Here is a 21,952-nt window from a genome sequence, read left to right as displayed (position 1 = left end):
CCCTTGTTGCCCAGGCTGGAGTGCAATGGTCCAATTTTGGCTCACTGCAACCTCTGCTTCCTGGGTTCAAGCAATTCTCCTGCCTCAGCCTCCCGAGTAGCTGGGATTACAGGCATGCACCACCAGGCCTGGCTAATTTTGTATTTTTAGTAGAGATGGGGTTTCTCCATATTGAGGCTGGTCTTGAACTCCTGACCTCAGGTGATCCACCCACTTCGGCCTCCCAAAGTGCTGGGATTACAGGCGTGAGCACCAGGCCCGGCCTACTTCCTCATTGTTTTAATTTAATTTAATGTCTCATTATTTGTGGATTTGAGCATCTCTTTATTTTTTAGTGAACATTTTGAATTTCTTCTTTTATTTCATGCACTTTGTCTCTTTTCTATTTGGGTTATTTCTTGGCTCTTTGTTGGCTGATGTTCTTGATATTACCTAAATACAATCCCTTGGTAGTCAAAGACATTGCCAATGTCTTTTCCCAGTCAGTCATATTTTTGTCCATGGTGTCCTTAATTGAAGATGAATTGGTTTATCGTTGCTGTTGTCTCACCCCTCTGATTGACCCTAGAATGCACCTCTGATGACTCACCTGTGCAATGGGGGAAACAAGAGCACCTACTTCACGTGGCAGTTTTGAGGATTACTTGAGACAGTGCATGGAGCTCAGTGGCAGAGTTCAGCAAGCACAGTGCTCTGCAGCCCCCATGGGCTCAACAGGGTCTGTAGCTGTTGGTTTTTCACTGGAGCTTGCGGATCCTTTGTGACAACTGAAGAGATCTTCCACGGGAAGCAGGAGCTATCAGATGCCACATCAGTCTGTCACATTCTCTCTCTCTCTAACCAGATCCACCAGTGGTCCTGTTCAATGTGGAAGTCCCAGGTGGTGGTAACTACAGGGTATGTTCACACCACTTTAGCCATGCTTCCCACAGGTTTTCTGAGAACCTGTCTCAAAAGCACACATTCTCTGATGGCCTTTCATACGTATTGTGAGCTGCTCAGACTAGAACTTACGATTCTGCCAGGTGTTTTGCAAAGTTTCAAACTCATCCAAAAAGACCTTGGTGTGTGGGTGTCTCCTTTATCTGTCTCTACCAATCAGGTGAGCACTGGGGCTTGTTCTATAGGAGGAATGACTCCAAAAGACTGACTGAGTGGTATTTCTTTGAGTAGCATTAAAGTGATTCAGAATTGCACACACTTCATCTCTCCCCCAGCAGACACAGACTTGAAAATTAGAGACAAAAATTTATGGCCAAATGTATTGTGGCTGTTATAAGAGGAAAGAGACCATTGTGTGATATGTAAGCTATTTTTGTTTGTTTGTTTGTTTGTTTGTTTTGAGACAGAGTCTCACTCTGTCACCCAGGCTGGAGTGCAGTGGCACGATCTCCACTTACTGCAACCTCCGCCTCCCAGGCTCAAGCCATTCTCCTGCCTCAGCCTCCCAAGTAGCTGGGATTACAGGTGCATGCCACCATGCCTGGCTAATTTTTGTATATTTAGTAGAGACCGGATTTTGCCATGTTGGCCCTGCTCATCTCAAACTCCTGACCTCAAGTGATTTGCCTGCCTTGGCCTCCCAAAGTGCTAGGATTACAGTCATGAGCCAACGCACCTGGCCTGTAAGCTATTTTAACAGAGCTGACTCAACTAGGGCAGCTGGAGGTCCCATGTAGAAGGGGGGATACTGAGCACCAAGCAGGACATGGCAGAGGAAGGACAGAGCAATCAGGCCCTGACCTGATTCTACCCAAGGTCAGTCTCACAAGGTGAATTCCAACCTGCTTTTCTGCAGCTCTAGAGTGAAAATCCTCATTCTCCAAGGCCTTCCTGCTGCTTCTCAGGGAACAGAGTGGTGGATGGAATGAAAGTGAAATCACCCTATTTGCCTTCTTCATTCAAAGGATGGGGAAACTAAGACAGAAAAGGAAAGTGGCCTGTAATCCCAGCATTTTGGGAGGCTGAGGTGGGTGGATCACTTGAGGTCAGGAATTCAAGACCATCCTGGCCAACATAGTGAAACTCCATCTTTACTAAAAATACAAAAATTAGCCAGATGTGGTGTCACGCACCTGTAATCCCAGCTACTTGGGAGGCTGAGGCAAGAGAATGGCTTGAATCTAGGAGACAGAGGTTGCAGTGAACCAAGATCCCACCACTGCACTCCAGCCTGGGTGACAGGCTCAAAAGAAAAAAAAAAGAAAGAAAGAAAAGGAAAGGAAAGTGAACCCACTCCATACAGCACAGCTAGTCAGCAGTAGTCAGGAACAGAACCCAGGTGATTTTTTATCTTTTCCTTAAAGTAGCCTGTGTCTCAGAGGACCTATGTCTCAGAGGAGACTTCTGGGACAAAATCTTAACTTCTCCATGGTTTAGGTTCCCAAGTGAGCTCCTAAGAATGCAGCTATGTGAAATTATCAATCAGGAAGTGACTCATTGTCAGGGAGTTTTGGAGAATATCCTCTACAATGGCCTCTCACTGAGTTGCATAATAGCAAATAACTGCATCTGTAGCTGCCTTTTCTTTGTGGGAGGAAGACACTGCCTTAAGCAATTTTTCATACATTATCTCACCTTGTGAAACAGAATGTAAATAGCAGGTTTGGAATTCAAGACCAATTCTGTTGAAAAATTAAGCTGGATCTCTTCCTAACACTACAGAGGAGTGAAATCTGGATAAACTAAAGGCTTAAGTGTCAAAATTACAACTTTAGAATTGCTATGAGTCATCTGTTGCTGAGTGACAAAATAACCCAACACTGAATGGCTTACAACAATGTGCCTCTTTATCTCCATGGGTCAGGAATCCAGTGTGGCTTAGCAGGGTCCTTTGGGGTTTCTCTTCCAGGCTGCAATTGACGTATTGGCCGGAGCTTCAGTCATCTCAAGGCTCAAGTGGGGAAAGATCCACTTCCAGGCTCATGTGATTGCAGCAAAAATCAGTTCTCTACAGGCTGTTGGACTAAGGGCTTCCGTTTCTCAATGGCTATTGGCCTTTCTCAGTTTCTTGTCTCATGGACCTGTCCAATATGGTAGCCGTCTTTGTCAAAGTGTGCAAGCTGGAAGGGCAATAGAGTCTACTAGCAAGCTGTAAGTCACACTCATTTGTAATCTAATCATGGAGTGGCCTGCCATCATCTTTGCTATACCCCATCCATGAAAAGCAAGTCACTAGGCTCAGCCTACACTTGATATGAAGGGATTCACAACCACGTGAGTACCAGGAGACAGAGATCACTGGGTGGCACCTTGGAAGTCTGCCTACCACAGGACTGTACAACTATAGAGGAAAAAGGAGAACTTCTACTCAACTGAAGACACTATAGACAGTTTATAGGCAGTGACAGATTTGGAGAAGTTTATGATGTCAAAAACTGATAAAGAATGCCTATAAATCAATAAGAAGTTGTCAAACAATTTCAGAAGGAAAGAGATGTACAAAGGCTGTAAATAGGCCATTTAGAGCAGAGATTCAAAAGGCTAATTAATAAGCACATATAGAGATGTTCACATTTATTAGCAATTAGAAACAAATGCCATTAAAACGAGACAGCGCTTCATTCTTTTCGGATTGACAAGACAGTTGGATAATGCCACATGTTGGCAAGGATATGGACTCCCCACACTGCTGGTGGGAATGTAGACTGGAGCTGCCAGCCACCCAGGAGCATCTGGCACAACCTAGTCAAATTTAATATATGCACATGCAGTGACCCTGCAATTCTGCTCATGGACATATATCCCAAAGAAATCCTTGCACCTGTTTGAAAAGACTCTTTCTGCAGCATTGTCTGTAGGGATGGAGAATTGGAGACAGCCAACTGGAAGAATGGATGGACATTAGAGAGAACTGTGTACAACCAGAAGCAGCAGATTTTACATTTAGAGAGCAACAACATAAGCGTGTGTGAAATCATGGTGAAGCGGCAGATTTCATGTTTGCAGAACAATGTGGGTACATGTGAAAGTCACTGTGTTTCATGAAACAAGAAAGATACAGAACCAAGTAAATAACATAATATCCTTTACGTAAGTTAAAAATGGATGCAAACAAAACAAAAATGTACATTTAACACAACCGCATGTTTTCCTATAGGAATAGGAGTAGCATGAGAGGATAAAGTGGGATCAATATACAAAACAAGAAAGGGACCATGTAACAAACAGTGGTAATCAGATTCTAATGACTGAGGAGTATGAGAGCTTAACCTTCTGTTCCTGCTGGGGAAAAAAAGTACTCAAGCAAAACATTTCTGCCAAACTCTTCAGTCCATTTGTGGAGTGTGCTACTCTGGAGGCAGGCACCCTATCTTGTTTGTGTTAATTGGTATGTTGCACCAGTTCGTCTGATCACAGTACTCTTTTTTTTTTTTTTTACATAAGACCTACTTATAATATAATTTATGCTCTTTGTCATATACCTTTGAAAATAGAGTTTACGATGTATGCATTCATTTTTGTTACTGCAAAAAAATCCTGTGTGTGTTCATGCTTGTGTGAGTGTGAGCATATGTGAGCCATAAGATAGTGACGATCCTTCTTAGGACTCAATGATTCCGTGGGTAGCTGTATTTCTCTGAACTACTCAAAGGGTTAATTTCACTAGACACGAACTCTCATGGCTTAAAACTATCTTCTTAAGACACTGCAATATTTCTCTTATTTTTATCTTTCCCCAGTTTTGCAAATAGCATCTCCCAGTGATCAAGACTGGCCACTAAATAATTAAATTTCTGGTAAAACTCACAAAAGGAAGGTGTGAGGTCTGATGTATAGGAAAACACACGCACATATGCCATCCAGTTTCCTAAAGAGATTCCAGCTTCAAATATTATCAGCACCTGGCAGGATGAGACTATTTTATGTAAATGGATTCATTATTATTAATTTCTGCCGGTGCTGAACGATTTATGAACTGCTTTTCGAATGTAGAAAAGTGGTTCATGAATCAGAAGGAAAAATGTTCCCCAAAACCGGCATCGATAAATAACGACTTTTATTCACGGATCCCACCCATGGTGTCTTTTATCTTCAGGAAGGATGGAATGAAAATTACAAAATCACTGTGGGAGTGGGGGTTGGGAACCAAAAAGCAGGCAAGGGTGGAAGAATTGGAGAGGAGGTTCCTGAAACAGTCCACTGGGCTGCAGAGTGTGACTGGCTGAGAGTCCCCTCCTGGGGACTTCTCCTTCTGGGGCAGCTCCTCCTCTCTCTTATTTTATTCTCATATAAACACCTGCTGGAAGACAGCTTCTGATTTTACCAGTTGCAAATGAGGTCCAGCAGGTATCTAATCTTTTTATTTTTTATTATTTTTTTAGAGACAGGGTCTCACTCTGTCACCCAGGCTGGAGTACAGTGGCACAATTACAGCTCACTGCAGCCCCAAACTCTTGGGCTCAAGGGATCCTCCCACCTCAGCCTCCCTAGTAGCTGCGACCACAGGAGCACGCCACCACACCTGGCTAATACTTCCTATTTTCGTAGAGATGAGGTCTTGCTATGTTGCCCAGGCTGGTCTCAAACCCCTAGCCTCAATTGATCCTCCTGCCTTGACCTCCCAAAGTGCTGGGATTATAAGGACGGGCCACTGCTCCCAGTCTAATCTTTTTAAAAGTCTTCATTTTCCAAACTTACAGTTTATTTTCTTGTCCCAAGATGGGTCACAGCTAGAGGCCATTCAATGTTGAGTGGCAGCCAAAAGTGCCAACTCCAGGTCTTTTGTCCAGAAAGATTCTTCTAGAACTGCTGACCTGCGAGGTAAGGACAGAGATTTAGGGACTATTCAATAGGTACTATTGAGCTCACATTTCTAGAATCCAAAGGCACTGGCAATAGGGGCCCTTTGGTTCCAGATTCACAATATTATTTCCAGGTTCTGCCAATTAGAAAAGACTTTAAATCCTGCTGGACCACTGCCTTCAATTTCAGGTTTGATAACCTCCAAAGCAGACAAATCCCTGTGATGGGCAAGACATTCCCAACATTGGCAAAAAAAGGGGCTTCCAGACTGTTCCTAGAGTTCTGAGACCTTGCCAAATGGTTTCACCTGGAGAAAGATATCCAAGGAAGCACTCCCCTCCATTGCCTCCAGATGGGACTACAGCCAGCAAATCCACCCAGAGCATTGGAAGGCCATTGGCTATCTGCAATCCTTTCCAGAGAAGCAATAGATTCAGCTACAAATAACTGGAGACTGAAGCTGCAGGGGGAATCACTACTGTTGGGTTAATGAAAATAATCTATTCCCAGTTGAAGAGGGTGGAGGCCAGGCATGGAAACACAATGGTTGAAGAAGTAGGCTAGTCTACCTGCCAGCTTACTCAATCAGCTTTTGTCCAGAAATAAACATAAAATGGGAACCAATGAATATGCAGTCTCTTCTGGGTCCCATTTCCTCTGTGTCTCCTTGGGTGGTCGTCTCGTGGTCTGTGATTTTAGTGCATTAAAATGTTAATTTTTAATACAACTACTTAATCCAGTATTCAACTGCAGAAACAATGATCTGTTTCAACAATGAAAAACAAATGGGAGAACCAGTTGTCAAATCCCCTGAAGACACATATGACCATTTCCAAAGGGATGTTTTACATACTGAGTTAGCTTTAATCCCTAGAGCAGATGTGTCCTCACAGTCATAGTTGGTTTTCTATGTTAAACAAACTCTTACCTCTTAAGCCTATTGTGAAGAAACCAGAAAAGTTTTTTAAAAGCAAATAAATAACTAGATAGCTTTATTTTGTTTTGTTTTACAATGGACTTAATCTGTGCACCATTTCTGGACAGCATATAAACACCACTCTTCTTATTTAAGGGAAGAAAAATTGAGATATAAAGAAGACAATTATCCTACAAAAACATGACAGCAAATTGGAACTGAGTCAAAAAGATTGCTTTCTGTTTCTGAATCTTCCTCCCAGAAGTGTATCCATTCAGTTATTGAGCACCTTCTGTCTGCCAACACTGTGCGGGGCCACAGGGATACAGCCATCAACAAGCCCCATAAGGACTCTCCCTTTCTCAAAGGGTTTATATTCCAGAGGGAAGAGACGATGATATTAAAATGCAATAATTCAATGAAAGTGGGTCATGGACAGTTGGTCATTTTTCTAGAAAATTATATGGATAAGGAAGGTGTCTTTGAGGAGCAAAGGCCAAAAGACAAGATGGTTGCAGCAATGTGAAAGGCTGGAAGAAGATTCCAAATAGAGGGGCAGTGATGAGCACTGTTCCTTTGACGGAAAGGGCCAACCCTGGGTGTGGCAAGAAGAGTAGAGAGAGGTGAGCTTAGAAAAGCAAGCTGAACCAACACATGTGGAACCAACAGTCTCTGGTAAGGAGTTTGAATTTCATTCTAAATGCCATGAGTAAACTGGGAAGGTTAATTTCAATTACTTTATTACCATGGAACTTCATTGAAGAAAACATCAAAAAAAATGCAAAGAAACATATTTTCTCAATATATTGGCAAATCCAGTCCTAGAGGAGAAAAGAGTGGATTGGCTGTCGTTAGGAACTGAGTAAATCACCCACAGCATTTAAATGCCTCCTTGGGTCTGGTTGCTCCAACATAAGCCAAACCTCTTTGCTACTCAAGACACTAAAGGTCCAACTTTGAAGAAGTAGGGGGTTGAAAGAAAAGGCATTTAGGAATTAAATATATGCTTCAATCAGTTGAACTTTTATACAGATTGACTGCAGTGAAAAATTAGAGCTTCATGTAATCCAATAGAGTAAAATCAAATGCTCCAAATAAATAAATAGTTGTCTTTTTTTATTAGCTTTCCATCACTCCTGGATCCATTTGTACATTGCCGTATGTCACCTCTCTCTTCGTTTGCAATGTTTCCTCTGAAAACTCTTCTGTTTATTTGAGCTTAGCAATCAGGCTTAAAGGTACCAATATATATTGTTCTAAAGTGTATATTTTTTCTGTCTACCAAAGACATAGTGACTACTCCTTTTATGGGAAACCAGTTATTAATCCAGTGAGTCTACATGAATCAATATCTTTGCGAAATGACACCATGTTCATGTTATTTTATGTTATGTTGATGGTTTGCTAATTTTGGAATGGAGACATTTCTTCTAGAAATAGACATAGTATAATTTAGTGGTGAAAACGTCAATCACCATAGGTTGTATGTCTTTGTCCTGGCAGAAGAGGGCAGGATTTATTGAAAGAAATGCAGCTTTATATTCCTTGGCACACTCTGACCCAAAACATCCATTTTGCTTATAATTTTGTTTGGCAAAATGACATCAGCTGCAATCACTAATAGAGAGACAATGCCAGAAGTCATTGTTCTGGGGTTCTGATTCCACAGTCTTGCTGCAGGGTGATACACTAACCACTTTAACGTGGCACTGACATCATGGTGCTTTTCTCTGCTGAGAGTAATCTACAAAGGAAAATTTGCATAATACCAAACAAATGTGTAAAATTTAGCCTCCCAAAACACATTTCGGTATGACTACTTTTTCCTCATCTCTAGCGGCCCATAAAGTAGTCTTGCAGTTTATGGATTCTTCATCTACCCCAAAGATATCTTCTCTCTTAAGACCACTCTCTTTCTCCTGCACCTCATCCCACTGACATTGTGTAGTTCAAGACAAAACGTACGGGAAAGAGGGATGAAAAAGAATCCACTGGACACAAGGGGGTGAGGCACAAGGATGCAAGAACATCCGGAGACTCAGACATTGTAGTAATTGCTGACAAAGGGAATTCATAGCACACCTGGATTCAGGGAGTCAGACCTCCCGCTGTCCTTGCTCTCCCACATTGACCCTGGGCTGGCTTTGGCTACCAGCTCATCAGCAAACATCACATCATGCAAGCACAGATTTGCATAATACTGCCCTGCTGGGGTAAGAAATATTGATGGGCCACATTTAAGCACTATTTCTTATAAAAGGTGAAAGCCTTTTGTATGTCTTACCTCATTTATCCTAACATAGTCCTGTGAATTAATCACTGCTATAATACCCATTTGACAGAGGAGGAAGCTGAGGTACAAGGAAGGAAGTGCCTTGCCCAAGGTCATAAAGCTAGCAAGGGTGAGGGAGATGTAGACAATGCTGGATGGAGTTTAAGTCCAGCTCACATGCTTCTCAGAGTTAGAAGGAAACTGGCAGCCCCTGTCATAAGCCGCAGTGGCCCTCAGACAATTCTCCTGACCCTGCCACCCAAGCACGTGTCAGGGCTTAATTGTTCTTAAGCAAGGGGACCTGCAAGAGTTTCCATCTCTTCCTGGAATTAGGCCCTTTCTTGGGACTCTCTGCTTTCATGGGGCTTTATTCATGCCACTCCAGAAGAGCACAGCATAATTTTGTTGTAAGGAAACTTGAAGGATGGGTGGGGTTTCGTGGCTGCCAAAGGCACAGAGATGAAGATCCAAGATCCTGTCCGAGAATTCTGAGGGGTCTCGGGACACCCAGATTTTGCAGTGGGGAGGAAAAAGGCTTTTCACTTTCTGCCTAACAAAACACATATATATGTGTGTGTGTATATACATATGTGCATATATATATATATGTATAGAGAGAGAGAGAGAGAAAGAGAAAGAGATGGAGTTTCACTTTTGTCACCCAGGCTGGAGTACAATGGCACAATCTCGGCTAACTGCAACCTCCACCTCCCAGGTTCAAGCGATTCTCATGCCTCAGCCTCCTAAGTATCTGGGATTACAGGCATGCGCCCACCACATCCTGCTAATTTTTTGTATTTTTAGTAGAAACGGGGTTTCACCATGTTGGCCAGACTAGTCTCGAACTCCTGACCTCAGGCAGTCCACCAGCCTCGGACTCCCAAAGTACTGAGATTACAGGTATGAGCCACCATACCCAGCACAAAACATATTTGAAATGAGGTTTGGACACATGTTGTCCTTCCCCTGAGCAAACATCTGTTCCTAGAGGCATGGCCCCACAGGGGCACTGAGAATGAGGACATATCAATCTCACCTCCAGACAGGAGTGCTAGCTCCAGGTCTTCCCAGTCCAGACTCCACCTCACCCACACCCACTTTGTAAAGGTGCTAATAAGCTTTGGGGACTCCTGAAATTGGAGACAGTAATCTGGGAAGGGGAGACACCAAGAAGGCAGTCTCTTCCTGAGACCCCCAGAAAACAAGATGACCAAGTCAAAGGCCAGGTCTGGGTTTTAATCATCTGTTCTTCCTGCTTGGCGGTTCTGGGGTGAGACTCCCCAGAACAGAGTCTACACCATGTGCACACCAGTTCCTACTGTATGGAGCAGAGTGAAGGGTGGAGCCTGCAGGACGACTCGCTTCATCTTTACATCCAGGTGAAGTTAGGACCAGCTGCGTGCTCTGGTCCAGAGGGCGATTATGGATGTGTAGGAGAGAAGGACAGATAGAGGGTGGGGTTGGCAGCAGAGCAACCTGTGAGCTTCCTTTGACTCAGAGTGGGATGAGGTGGGAGCACCTCTGCACTGACCATAACCTTCACTGCCACACATCTTTGCTGCTAAAAAAGTTTGATATAAATTCTATGGACTGACAGTGTCCATCCCCCAAAGAGATACTAAAAACAAATCTCACCTTCTAGAGGCAAAGCATTCATTGCTGACATTTATTGATGGCAATATAGGGAGTTACAGGTGGTGGGATTAGCTCACAGAGAAATCCTGGGTGGGCTGGGGCCAGCCCCCATTCTCTCTTGTCCTATCTCTATCTGTAGGTCAGAACACCTTAATTCCAACTTGTCTGGGGTCCACAGTCCATATACTAGACCCAGGACAAAAATCAGAAATGAAATCCAGCTGCAAGGTTCCACCATCCCAAGAGCTCTCTTGCAAGCCTGGGTGTCTCTCCGAACTCCTGACCCCTTCCATAGATGCCATTCATTCCCTGGAGAAAGTGACATCCCGTAGGGCGGGGAGTCTAGAGTCTAGAGGCTGCCCGCACACAAGCACTGACAGAGCCTACTTTCCTTCACATCCCCCTGAAGCACTTAAAGATATCAATCACCCAAAGACATCTCTGATCTTGAGCACTGACCCCTTTACCCCCCAGCAGCTAGGATTTCTGACCTGAGCTCAGTGGCTTTCAGTTCCAGCAAGAAGAGTTTTTCCCTGGTCTCTCAATGGCACTCCAAAAGCCAGAAGTGGTGGACTAGTATTTCTCAGGAGGCCCTGTCCTGTCCTGGCTCCTTGACCCCAGCCAAGGGCCGACTGGAAGGTAGGACAGAGAGAGGAGACCTGCAGGTGCCCATTCTCCATACTTCCAGGACTCACTTCCTTTCTTTCCTATCTTTGGGTTCCTTTAATGAAATGTTCTCCATCCCAGGCAGGAAAACCATTTCCCTGAAAAATATAAAATCCATTGCTGAGCGCTGCAGCGAGAATTAACCTTGATTACCACAGTAATTTACTAATCAAAACTGGAGACCTGGTAATCAAGCTGGAATTGCCAGCTGCTTGATTTTTATAGTAACATAACCAAGATCGAACATTTGGTAAACAAGGGGTGTGGGTGTGATGGGGAGACTGGGACAAGGTAAGGGAGGGGCAGGGCTGTCCCAGGGCTGGAAGGAGGCTGACATGTGCTCTGTTGACTGGGTAGCAGGAACAGCAGAAACAGACAGAAATGCAGAAACTTCTTCTGAATGGGACAGCCCATTGGATCTCATACAGAGTGAGTATTGAGGCAAAACCAGGTTTTTCACAGTCTGGCTTGTTTCAGATTTGGGCTCGCAGGCACTGGCTTCTTTGAGTAGTTTATTTGGGGGGCAATGGCAGCAAATGTCCATGGGGGAGCAAGGAAGTGAGACAGGGAAGAGAAGAAAGCCAGATGGGTTTGTGAGCAGCTTGCTGCTAGGGGTAACTGGAGCTCAGATCTGCTGAGACCCCTGGGGATGCAGTGCAGAATGGGACACAGAGCGGTCCCACCCAATGCGGGATGGATGCTCCTGGGGATGTTAACTCCCTAGCACTTCTGAGCTGCCTGTCCTGCAGGGTTGGAGGAACTTGCAGTAGAAATTGGTCCACAGATGAGCCCTGTGAGTGCTGTGGAGATGTGGATGGCATCAACTGCCTCAAATTGTATTTGCTCCCCTGCACAGCTTGTCCTTGAACTTCATTCCCTTAGCAAACATCAGCCACTCTGAAATGTGCCTTTTTGAAGAAGAAGGCACCATACTCCCTCACACTTCGGTGCTTTCGTCCATGCTGTTCACTCTGACATAGATGAAGTCAGCTGAGGGGGATCTCCCCGGGCCGCATGACCTACGGTGTGCCCAGAGCACCTTTTGTTTCAGCCCCTAATAGCACCTGCCACTCTGTGCACTTCCATTTCTATTTCCCTCCCCTCCTGCTAGACTGAAAATAACAGGAGGGCTGGACTGTGCTTTTCTCTGCATTCCTCCAGTCTAGAAGAATACTTGGCAAATGGGTTCTCAATAAATCTGTGCCAATCAGGTGACTGATGAATGAGCCTGGATCGAAGGCTACAGAAGAACGTCCCTGCCCAGGACCAAGGGACCTTGTAAACATGGGCCTTCCAAATGCCCTTTCTCGTGCATGACAACTTCACCCTCCAGCCAGGAGACAGGTAAGAAAGGAATAATTATATGCCCCACACACAAGACGAAACAGACCAGAGTTCAGCCTCAGCTATGAGGGACAGCCACTCTGTCAGCACCAGATTCTAAGTGGCCAAGCCCAGAACTGAACCCAGACGACCTGACTCGGAGCTGCTGGTGCTTCCTGAACCAGAGAGCAGTCTCATCTGTGCAAGGCTGCAGCCCAAGCACCCTGGCTCTGTGGACCAGACCCACCTCTGAGTTCCCTTCCTGGCCCTAAGGTGCTGAGCAGCACAGCAGGTAAAGATGTGCATACCGGAGTTGGTCTTGATCCTCCTCTATCCCAGGCCCTCAGTGAGTATTTCACCATTAACAACAATAACAAGGGCACTCTGTGTTTAGCACTTCTCCCTGGAAGCAGTGCCTCCAGGCTGCTGTGCAGGGAAAGATGGGTTCAAGAGGCAATGCTGGTTGCTGGTGATGAGAAGGCCTGATTGGGGACTCAGCACCGCACAGGTAACGACAGCATAGGTTTAGACAAGGGGCGGTGGACACCGGGAAGGTCATAGAAAGTCAAAAAGAATAGGGGAAACGTGTTCATCTGTTTGCATCGCTATAAAGGAATGCCTGAGACTGGGTAATTTATAAAGAGAAGAGGCTTACTTGGCTCACGGTTCAGCAGGCTGTACAGAACCTGCATGGGGCTGACATTGGCTTCTGGAGACACCTCGGGAAGCTTCCAATCATGGCAGAGTAGGGAGGGGAGCCAGTGTGTCTCATGGCGAGAGTGGGAACAAGAGAGAGGGGAGGAGGTACCAGGCTCTTTCAAACAAGCTCCCCTGTGAACTCGGAGTGAGAACTCCCTCATTATGGTGAGGATGGCACCCAGACACCCATCAGGGTTCTGCCCCCATGACTCAGACACCTCCCGGTAGGCCCCACTTCCAACATGGGAGGCCACTTCTTTACATAAGATTTGGAGAGAACAAAAGTTCCAAATCATATCAGGAAACAACCATAGCCCATCTCCCCAACCCCAGCCTGAGCTGGCCTGAGACTGCTTCTCAAGGAGGTCCAGAAGGCTCCTGGCCAGTGGGAGTAAAACAAAGCATGCAGGAGGGTAAGAGAATGGAGCCTCCCCCAGGCGCTGGCACAGAGCTGGGCCTGGAAGAGAGGCCAGGAAGAGGACTGGCTGGCCGTGAGGAGGCTGGGTTGGTGAATGCAAGAGCAAGTGGGGAGGGTCTAAGAGGTCCAAGCAGTCCATATTACAGGAATATCCTCTGAGGTATTTCCACAGGTCTCCCTGCCTGGAGTTCCCCCAGAGGTTGGGGAAGAAACCTTTGTGAGCAGTTGTTGGTCACCCACACGTGGTGCCATGGAGGTGCTGATTTGGAGATATTCACCCTCCAGCACCATGGACAAGGAGAGCAGGGGCTTCCAGGAATAAAAAGATGTCTTCTGCTTCTCAGGGTCCCCTCTAAAGTACCAAGAGGGTAGGAACCTGCAAGGAGACTTCAAGAGGCTGGGCCAGTATTCTGTTCCCACCTAGGGAAGAGGCAGCTGCCCATCCTACAGCCTGGGCTCTGAAATCATGATTTCAAGCAGTAGCAACAGGAAACAGGAGACTGCTCTTCCCCAGTGAACACATTTCAAAGGAGCTCAGTCATGAACATGGCCAGTAACAGCCAAGGAAAAGGGCCAGAGGCTGCTGTGGACGCAGAGACATTGCCATCGCCACGTGCATCCAGCTGACCACCCCCAGCCGCCTGCCTGTGCTCTGTAAATCCAGGAGTCGAGGCTCTTTTTAAATTAACTTTTTTTTTTTTTTTTGAGACAGAACCTTGCTCTGTTACCCAGGCTGGAGTACAGTGGCGTGCTCTTGGCCCACTGCAACCTCTGCCTCCCGGGTTCAAGTGATTCTCCTGCCTCAGCCTCCCTAATAGCTGGGATTACAGGCATGCCCGGCTAATTTTTGTATTTTTAGTAGAGACGGGGTTTCACCGTGTTGATCAGGCTGATCTCAAACTCCTGACCTCAAGTGATCTGCCCACCTTGGCCTCCCAAAGTGCTGGGATTATAGGCATGAGCCATTAACTTTTAATTACTCAAAGAATACATGAACACATTATTGTTATAAAATATTAAAACATTACAGATAAGAGTAAAGTCCTCTCTGACCCTCTCCCATCCCAATCCGCCATATATTCTGTATTATCATAATTATCTGTGGGTGTGTGGCCTTCAGGACATGTTCTTTGTATTTAGATGGAAAACGTACGGCATTGGTAGAAGACGAGGGACTGTCCTCCGTGCCATACTTGTTCTCTACATAAACATGACGTGGACACTTCTCTATTACTCAGAGGTAAACCATACATCTTGTGTCTGGTCGCTATGCACCATTTCCCTGTTGTGGGGCTGTCTGGCTAGTTTTGGCTTTTGATGTTTACTGCACCATACTATGGGAAGCATCCTTCCATGGGACTCATTGACTGTCGTTTTCTGAGAGTACACACCTAGTGTGGAAATGCTGGAACAGCAGAAGATTGGCACGTTTATAGCTGTGCTAGAGGTTGCCAACTTGCTGTCCTAAGGGCTTGTGAGTTGTGTGCACCCCTACCCAGTTCTCACATCCTCCCAATCCTTTATACTGTCAGATTCAAAAGTTTTGCCAATTTGGAGCCATAGAATGCTGTTTTAGTTCACACAGCATGGACCACTGGTGAAATCGAGCAGCTTTTATTTATTGATCATTGGCTTTTCTCTAAGAAGTCTTAGCCTTGACCTGTCTTTCTATTAGGTGTTTGTCTTTTTCTTATTTGTTTATGGTTTTCTGTGTTCACGCACACACGCACACATTCTAGACGCTGATCCTTTCAGTTTATAATGCCTCTGTAAGTCATATCTTAAAGGATTTTCTCCTTCTCCATCTTCTTCTCATCACCATTCTCCTCCTTTTTCTTCTTGGGAAAATCCAGACAACGTTGAAGAAGCATATTTACCTTTGGCACATTCTGGAAACTTCTTTCTCATCTTACCTCTGTTCTAACATTTGCAGCTTATGGAGCTAAGCAGCCTTTCTAATCTGTTTTCTTGAAGCTCTATGATTAATAAAAGCCATGAATTCTGATTATTCCAAAGGACAGGAATGTCATGTATCACCCCTGCCCACATATCTCTGGTGTGCAAGGCACATGTGACTAATTCATCTGAAAACTCCCTCGTCCTAAGCCTTGTTCAGCCTCAGAACCCTTCTTAACAATAGTGGCCACCACCATGACTCGGTTGGAGTTGGCCTGTAAGAAAATCTATATGCTGTCACTGCCTCAGCTTAATCAAGTATGTTTTAATCATCCCAGTTAACAGGGGTTTCAAAGCCTCCCTACCTCACAATGATTAACTCATCAGAGTTTTCATTAAAAAGAAAATCTCAGCTAATTGGTTTGACCTCTCCATTTAGGAAAATGATAATAATAACAAGCTAACATTTATTGAGTGGTTAGTATGTGCCAGACAGTGTGTAAAATGCTTTACACGTATTTTCTCATTGAATCTGACAGCAGCTACTTAAGTGGAATGGTGTCATGTCACGGGAAAAAAGGCAAAAACAGTGCCTCTGCTGCTCTGAACTTGACCCTTTCCTCTCCTACGATGTGAGCTGCAAGAAGTCAGCTTTTCCTTCTGCCTGACCCATTATTATGTAGCATGCTTATCCTCTGATATGCTCAAAACGGACTGTGGCACAGTGAGCTTTCTTGTCTTTGCGGTCCAGAATGCAGATTGAAGATTGGTAGAGAAATGGTAGAAAGAGATTTCACTTGCAAAGTCCTGCTGCCTGTAGCTGATGGTGTGCCAACCAGATAGCCTTTAGCAGGCTGCAGTCCATGCACCTGACTTCTGCTATTAGGTTGGTGCAAAAGTAATAGTCATTACTTTGGCAAAAACCCTAAATCATTTCTCTTAATTCAAAGTGTCACAAATCTCTAGGGCAGGGGCAAAATGTCACCAGTCTCTTTGTGAAAACATATCAAGAGTCACCCTTGATCCAGTTCCCAACAAGTTCCTCATCTCCAGCTGAGACCACCTCAGCCTGGATTTTATTGTCCATATCAGCATTTTGGGCAAAGCCATTCAACAAGTCTCTAGGAAGTTCCAAACTTTCCCACATTTTCTTGTCTTCTTCTCAGCCCTTCAAACTGTTCCAGTCTCTGCCTGTTACCCATTTCCACATTTTTGGGTATCTTTTCAGCAACACCCCAATATACTGGTACCAATTTATTGTTTAGTCTGTTTTCATGCTGCTGATAAAGATATACCTGAGACTGGGAAGAAAAAGAGGTTTAATTGGACTTACAGTTCCACATGGCTGGGGAGGCCTCAGAATCATGGCGGGAGGCAAAAGGCATTTCTCACATGGTAGTGGCAAGAGAAAATGAGGAAAAAGCAAAAGTGGAAACCCCTGATAAAACCATCAGATCTCGTGAGACTTATTCACTATCATGAGAATAGCATGGGAAAGACCGGCCCCCATGATGAAATTACCTCTCCCTGGGTCCCTCCCACAACACATGGGAATTGTGGGAGCTAAGATTCAAGATGAGATTTGGGTGGGGACACAGCCAAACCATATCACAATACATTCCAAAGGCCACCCAGAACCGGTTCTGAATTCTATAAGCCTGGCTCTCCCCTGGCCAGCACCTCAGTTTCCTAGACTGGCAGCATCCTGGCTGCGTGGGGTACTCATGTTCTCAGATACCTGAGTCCTTCTGATTTTTCCTGTTAACCTTGGGCCACATCAACACAATATCTGGTGAAGTAGTTCTCTTGATAAATAAGAAACAAAACAACAAAAATCTAACTACAACAACCGTTGGGTATTTTTTTGTTCCATAGTTGAAATATCTAACTATCTTTGTTTTTAAAATGATTAGGCTTGGCCAAGTGCACTGGCTCACGCCTATAATCCCAGTGCTTTGGGAGGCACAGGAGGGTTGTTTGAGACCAGAAGTTTGAGACCAGCCTAAGCAATGTAATGAGACCCTGTCTCTACAGAAAAATATAAAAATTAGCTGGGCACTGTGGTGCATGCCTATAGTCCCAGCTACCTAGGAGGCTGAGGCGGGAGGATTGCTTGAGCCCAGAGACATGGAGGCTGCAGTGAGCCATGAATGCACCACTGCACTCCAGCCTGGGCAACAGAGTGAGACTCTGTCTCTAAAAATCAAACGAATAAATAAACAAAACACTATTAGGCTTTATTTAGTTATAAATTACCCAAATCACCACCTGAGTTCTCTCCCTTTGCTTTTACATATGTAAACATAACTTCAATACTAAAAGAGAATTTTTTTTTCCTTCTTCCTCAGAAATCCTACTAAAGTCAAGGGCAAAGGGCATCAGACTCATTTTTGATGTGAAGAAACCAAGTCACAGAGAGGGTGGCTTGCCCTTGAGGGCTCCATCTAGGAAACATCATGGGCCCATTAATATCTGGGTTGAAAAATCCCTTTCCCAGGCTGCTCTGAGCTCCCGTCTGAGCCTCTCTCCCCAGCCCCTCACTTCCCTGGGCCAGGAGTCAAAGCCTGCCCTGGAGTGACAAACGTGAAACCCCAGCTCTGCTCTGTCAAAAACCACTAGGGTCTGTCCTTTCCTCAAGGGCTTCCACTCATACACCCCAGGAGCTGGCCGAGCAGCAAGGCAATGTTTTCTGCCTTCCTTTCCATCTTGCCAGCTGCCTCCTGGACAGAGCTTTGTTTAACTCTCCCTGCAGTTCCCCTGGAAGACTGAAGAATTTGCAAAATGACCCCAGAACAGGGCTTCTAGTCAACTGGTCCTCTCCTACCCCTCACCTGGGGACAAATGCCATTTTTTAGAATTTCCTCCTGAGGTGGCAAACTAGCTAGAGATGAAGAGTCACACTGAGAAAGAAACCAAAGAGCAATTATTTAAAACCAAGTTTTCTCTCTCTTCTGCATCCATATTTGGGACAATGGCTCTCTTTCGGGAGGACAGATGATCCCTTAGCACTCAGGACTGGAATACCAGGCGAGAACTTCAAAATGGGAGAGTGCAGGAGGGAGGGAAGGCTCAATGGAGCATTTTCACATTGCAACAGGGTTGTTTCCAGGTTCATGTCAATTTATTCAGCAATCAAGAGCAATCCTCCTCACTTTGCCAAATGATGCAATAGTTCTCTCCCATTACAACAAGGAATGGGAGATGGTAAACAAACAGCATTACGACGTCACAAATCAATTTTATTGAAAACGTATTAGGTTTCAGTACAACTGAAGGATCAGACACCCAAGGAGAGAAAGGCAGGGGAGAGGAGACAGCGCACCAAGATTTACTTCTGAGTGCTACAAAATATTGAACTAAAAATAACATTAAAGATGATATTTGTAATGAATCTCAAGCTGCTAAATTCCCCAAGGCCGGTTCTGCCAAAGGCTTTGCTGCAATCCTCTGTTCTTTCTTGTCTTTATTTAAATATTTTATACAGTTGTCTATGTTCATGTGCAGTGTGAACTGTCATTTATATTTCAGTCCACTTTAAAATGGATCTGAGGCTACTTCAAGCTGAGCGCCGCACGGAGCGGGTCTGCGCGGAGAGGTAGGTTGGAATGCGGAGAATAAATGAAGATGGATCCTTAATGTACTTTTTGTGTACTTATATTTGCCTGTCATGTTTTCTGCCTTAAACCTGATTTGTAATTCTATGGGTTTTGTGACATTATGATAAGATGCGATCCGTGGAAAACTCACATTTAGCCGGGACGTTGATGGGCATTTGAGTTAAAGAGAGTGGTTGACGGGAGAGAGGCAGAATTCGGACCCTGCGGCTTAATGCTTAGTGGAACAACTTGCTTGGTCTGGAGCTGTAGTATTTCATGCTTTTCTATGCATTAGACTTTGCCAAAGTGAAATTTTGGAAGAATAAAACATTTCCAAGATAAATTCAATTTTCCCCCGTATTGAACTGAACTTTCTATGTCACTTAATGATGTAGGGGAGTTTGGGCAGAAAAGTGCATTTTGTTAGTTTGCACACCAAGGAGGTGGGTTGAGAGTAAGTCGGGAGGCCAAGTGTGAAGGTAAAGGAAGGAGGGCTGGAGTGGGAAACGTGGACAGCCCTGGAGGGTCCTCTCAGACTCATCCCACAAAAACGTGTGTGTGTGTGTGTGTGTGTGTTGTGTGTGTGTGTGTGTGTGCTGGGGGTGGGCATGGATCCCTGATAAAGTTCCGCATTTGGATTCTACAGAGGGTCAGAGGTCAGAGGTGCTGGCAGTGTCAAAGCACTGCATGAACAATTCTGGGGTGACAGAAATGTAGGTAGGGGGACAGGGTTCTCCACAGCCTCCTCCCTTTTGCAGACTGACTGCCAGGTAGCACCAGGTTTCACTATCGGCCTCCCTGGGCAGTGCCTCTCCTTGCAGCCCAGCCTGAGTAGAAGGAATTCTGCTCCATTCTGCTTCTGGCCCTTCACCTCCCTGGAGAGTGCTCTCCTCCTGGACCAACCAACACCTTCCCCTTTGGGGCCGCTCCAGTGCTCAAGATCCCGGTGCCTGTGGATGTTGCTAGCAATGCACCCATGGGATCTGAGGGCATCTTCTGAGAGGGAGGCCATGGTTCATGTAGGAACATATGTGGGAGCACAGGGACCCAGGAGTGAAGGCCGTCCCAGGGCCTCCCACCCTGGCTTTTCTCTAACAGCCATTGATCTAGAATAAATATCATCATACCTATGTTTTCCCAGAGAGTGCAGGAAATACTGAAAGTGTTGGGAGGCACTTTCTGCCCTGGCCTTTCTCCCTCTCCTCCCATATCTTCATGTTGTATCCAGCAAATATCATGGCAGTCAGACTGGGCTGGTTCCAGACCTCGCTCAGATATTTACTGCTGCGTGACAGTGGAAAATCAGCCAGCCTATCTGCAGAAAGTTAAATGAGGCCCCAAAATAGCATGTCCACCTGCCACCCTCAGCATCTGTGAATGTGTCCTTATTTGGAAAAGGGGTCTCTGTAGACGGAATTAAGTTAAGGATCTAGAGATGAGATCATGCTGGATTATCCAGGTGGGCCCAAATCCAAGGACAAGCGCTCTTTTAAGAGATGGAAGAGAAGACCAAGAGATAAGAGGAAAGACGACATGAATACACAGGCAGAGACTGGAGCGAGGCAGCCACAAGCCCAGGAACACCTGGAGCCACCAGAAAAGGTAAGGAAGGCCTCTTCCTAGGGCCTTTGGAGGGCGCAGAGCCCTGTGGACATTTTGATTTCAGGCTTCTGGCCTCCAGAATAGTGGGAGAATAAATGTCTCTTGTCTTAAGCCCCCACCTCTCCCCCAACCAGTTACTGTTCTCTGACGGCAGCCCTGGGAAGGAAATATGTCCTCTAAACCTCAGGTTCCTCACTTAAATGGCACTGTTGTTGTCCTTGCAGGAACTCTGGAGATGTGGACATGTGACATGCAGAGGAAGCTAACCAGAGCTGCCGGCGCCAGGGCCATCTCCCTTCCTGCCCTGATACACTCCCTCTAACAGCCAAATGTTCTGGGACAACTTGTGGCCCTGTTCCTTCCCTCTCCCCATAGGCCACCCTGCTCTACCTCCAAAGCGTATGTCCTTCAGGAAGCCCACAGAGCCCTTCCCCTCATGACTGGGGTGACTTTACCCTCAGGGTCAGCAAGACCCAGCCCCAGGCCCTGCTGGGCCTCAGGGAGCTGGAGGAGCCCCTCGCCCTCCATGCAGAAGCTGTGTGAGGCCTCCAAGCCCACGCATGGGGCTGCACAGCTCCTGCTGCTGTGGCCAGATGCCCTTTGGCAGCTAGGAACAGAGGCCTGCTCATTGGTTCTTAAGGAAGGAAGTAAACCTTGTTAGGAGGCAGAGACTTTTGGGGAAACCCAAGGCAGGAAGGAGGGCCCTGCCTTCCAGACGTACAGCCTGTACCTGGGAACACGAGGAGCCCCAAGGTGGCATCTCTTCTCCCTCGGCTCCTGTGGTTCTCCTCTGCATCAGCCCTCTCTATGTTTTTAGGACAAAAGGAAGAAACCCATGGCCTCTAAGTCACTGGCACCTTGAAGACAGGAGGCTGGCTCCCAGGGCCTCCCCGCCTTAACTCCAAATCCTCCACAAACAGAACACTGGCATGGCTTGGCTCAGATGTCCACCCTACTTCTAATCTGCAAAGACTGGTGAGAAGGTCACACAACATAACTCAGCCTGGGATGTTCTTCCGGGCAACTGGGATGAGTTCTTGAGAATGGCAATGGGGTGGGGGGTATGGGTAGGGAAAATCCTCTCCTTAAACCTGAGAAACCCCAACCAACAACCATCACCCCATCAGATTCCAGCCTCTGTAACCTGGTGAGTCTCTCTGGGTGGGGGTCAAGGCTGCCCAGGG

The 21,952-nt window shown here is 45.8% G+C and overlaps 1 long non-coding RNA gene across 3 annotated transcripts in view; it reads right to left on the bottom strand.

The window, feature by feature from the left end:
• The window catches only part of TSHZ3-AS1 (TSHZ3 antisense RNA 1), a 101,016-nt gene that overhangs the window by 11,395 nt on the left and 67,669 nt on the right, over positions 1–21,952 (bottom strand). For all 3 annotated transcript variants that reach the window (XR_002958388.2, XR_001753896.2, XR_001753900.2), the window contains exon 2: positions 5,641–5,756. This is a non-coding gene — a long non-coding RNA (TSHZ3 antisense RNA 1). The remainder of the gene's footprint in view (positions 1–5,640; positions 5,757–21,952) is intronic.

The sequence above is a fragment of the Homo sapiens genome, chromosome 19 (assembly GCF_000001405.40).
Source record: "Homo sapiens chromosome 19, GRCh38.p14 Primary Assembly".
Classification (NCBI taxonomy): Eukaryota; Metazoa; Chordata; class Mammalia; order Primates; family Hominidae; genus Homo; species Homo sapiens.
Note: the sequence above shows the minus strand (reverse complement) of the source record. Positions and strands in the feature narration are given on the sequence as shown.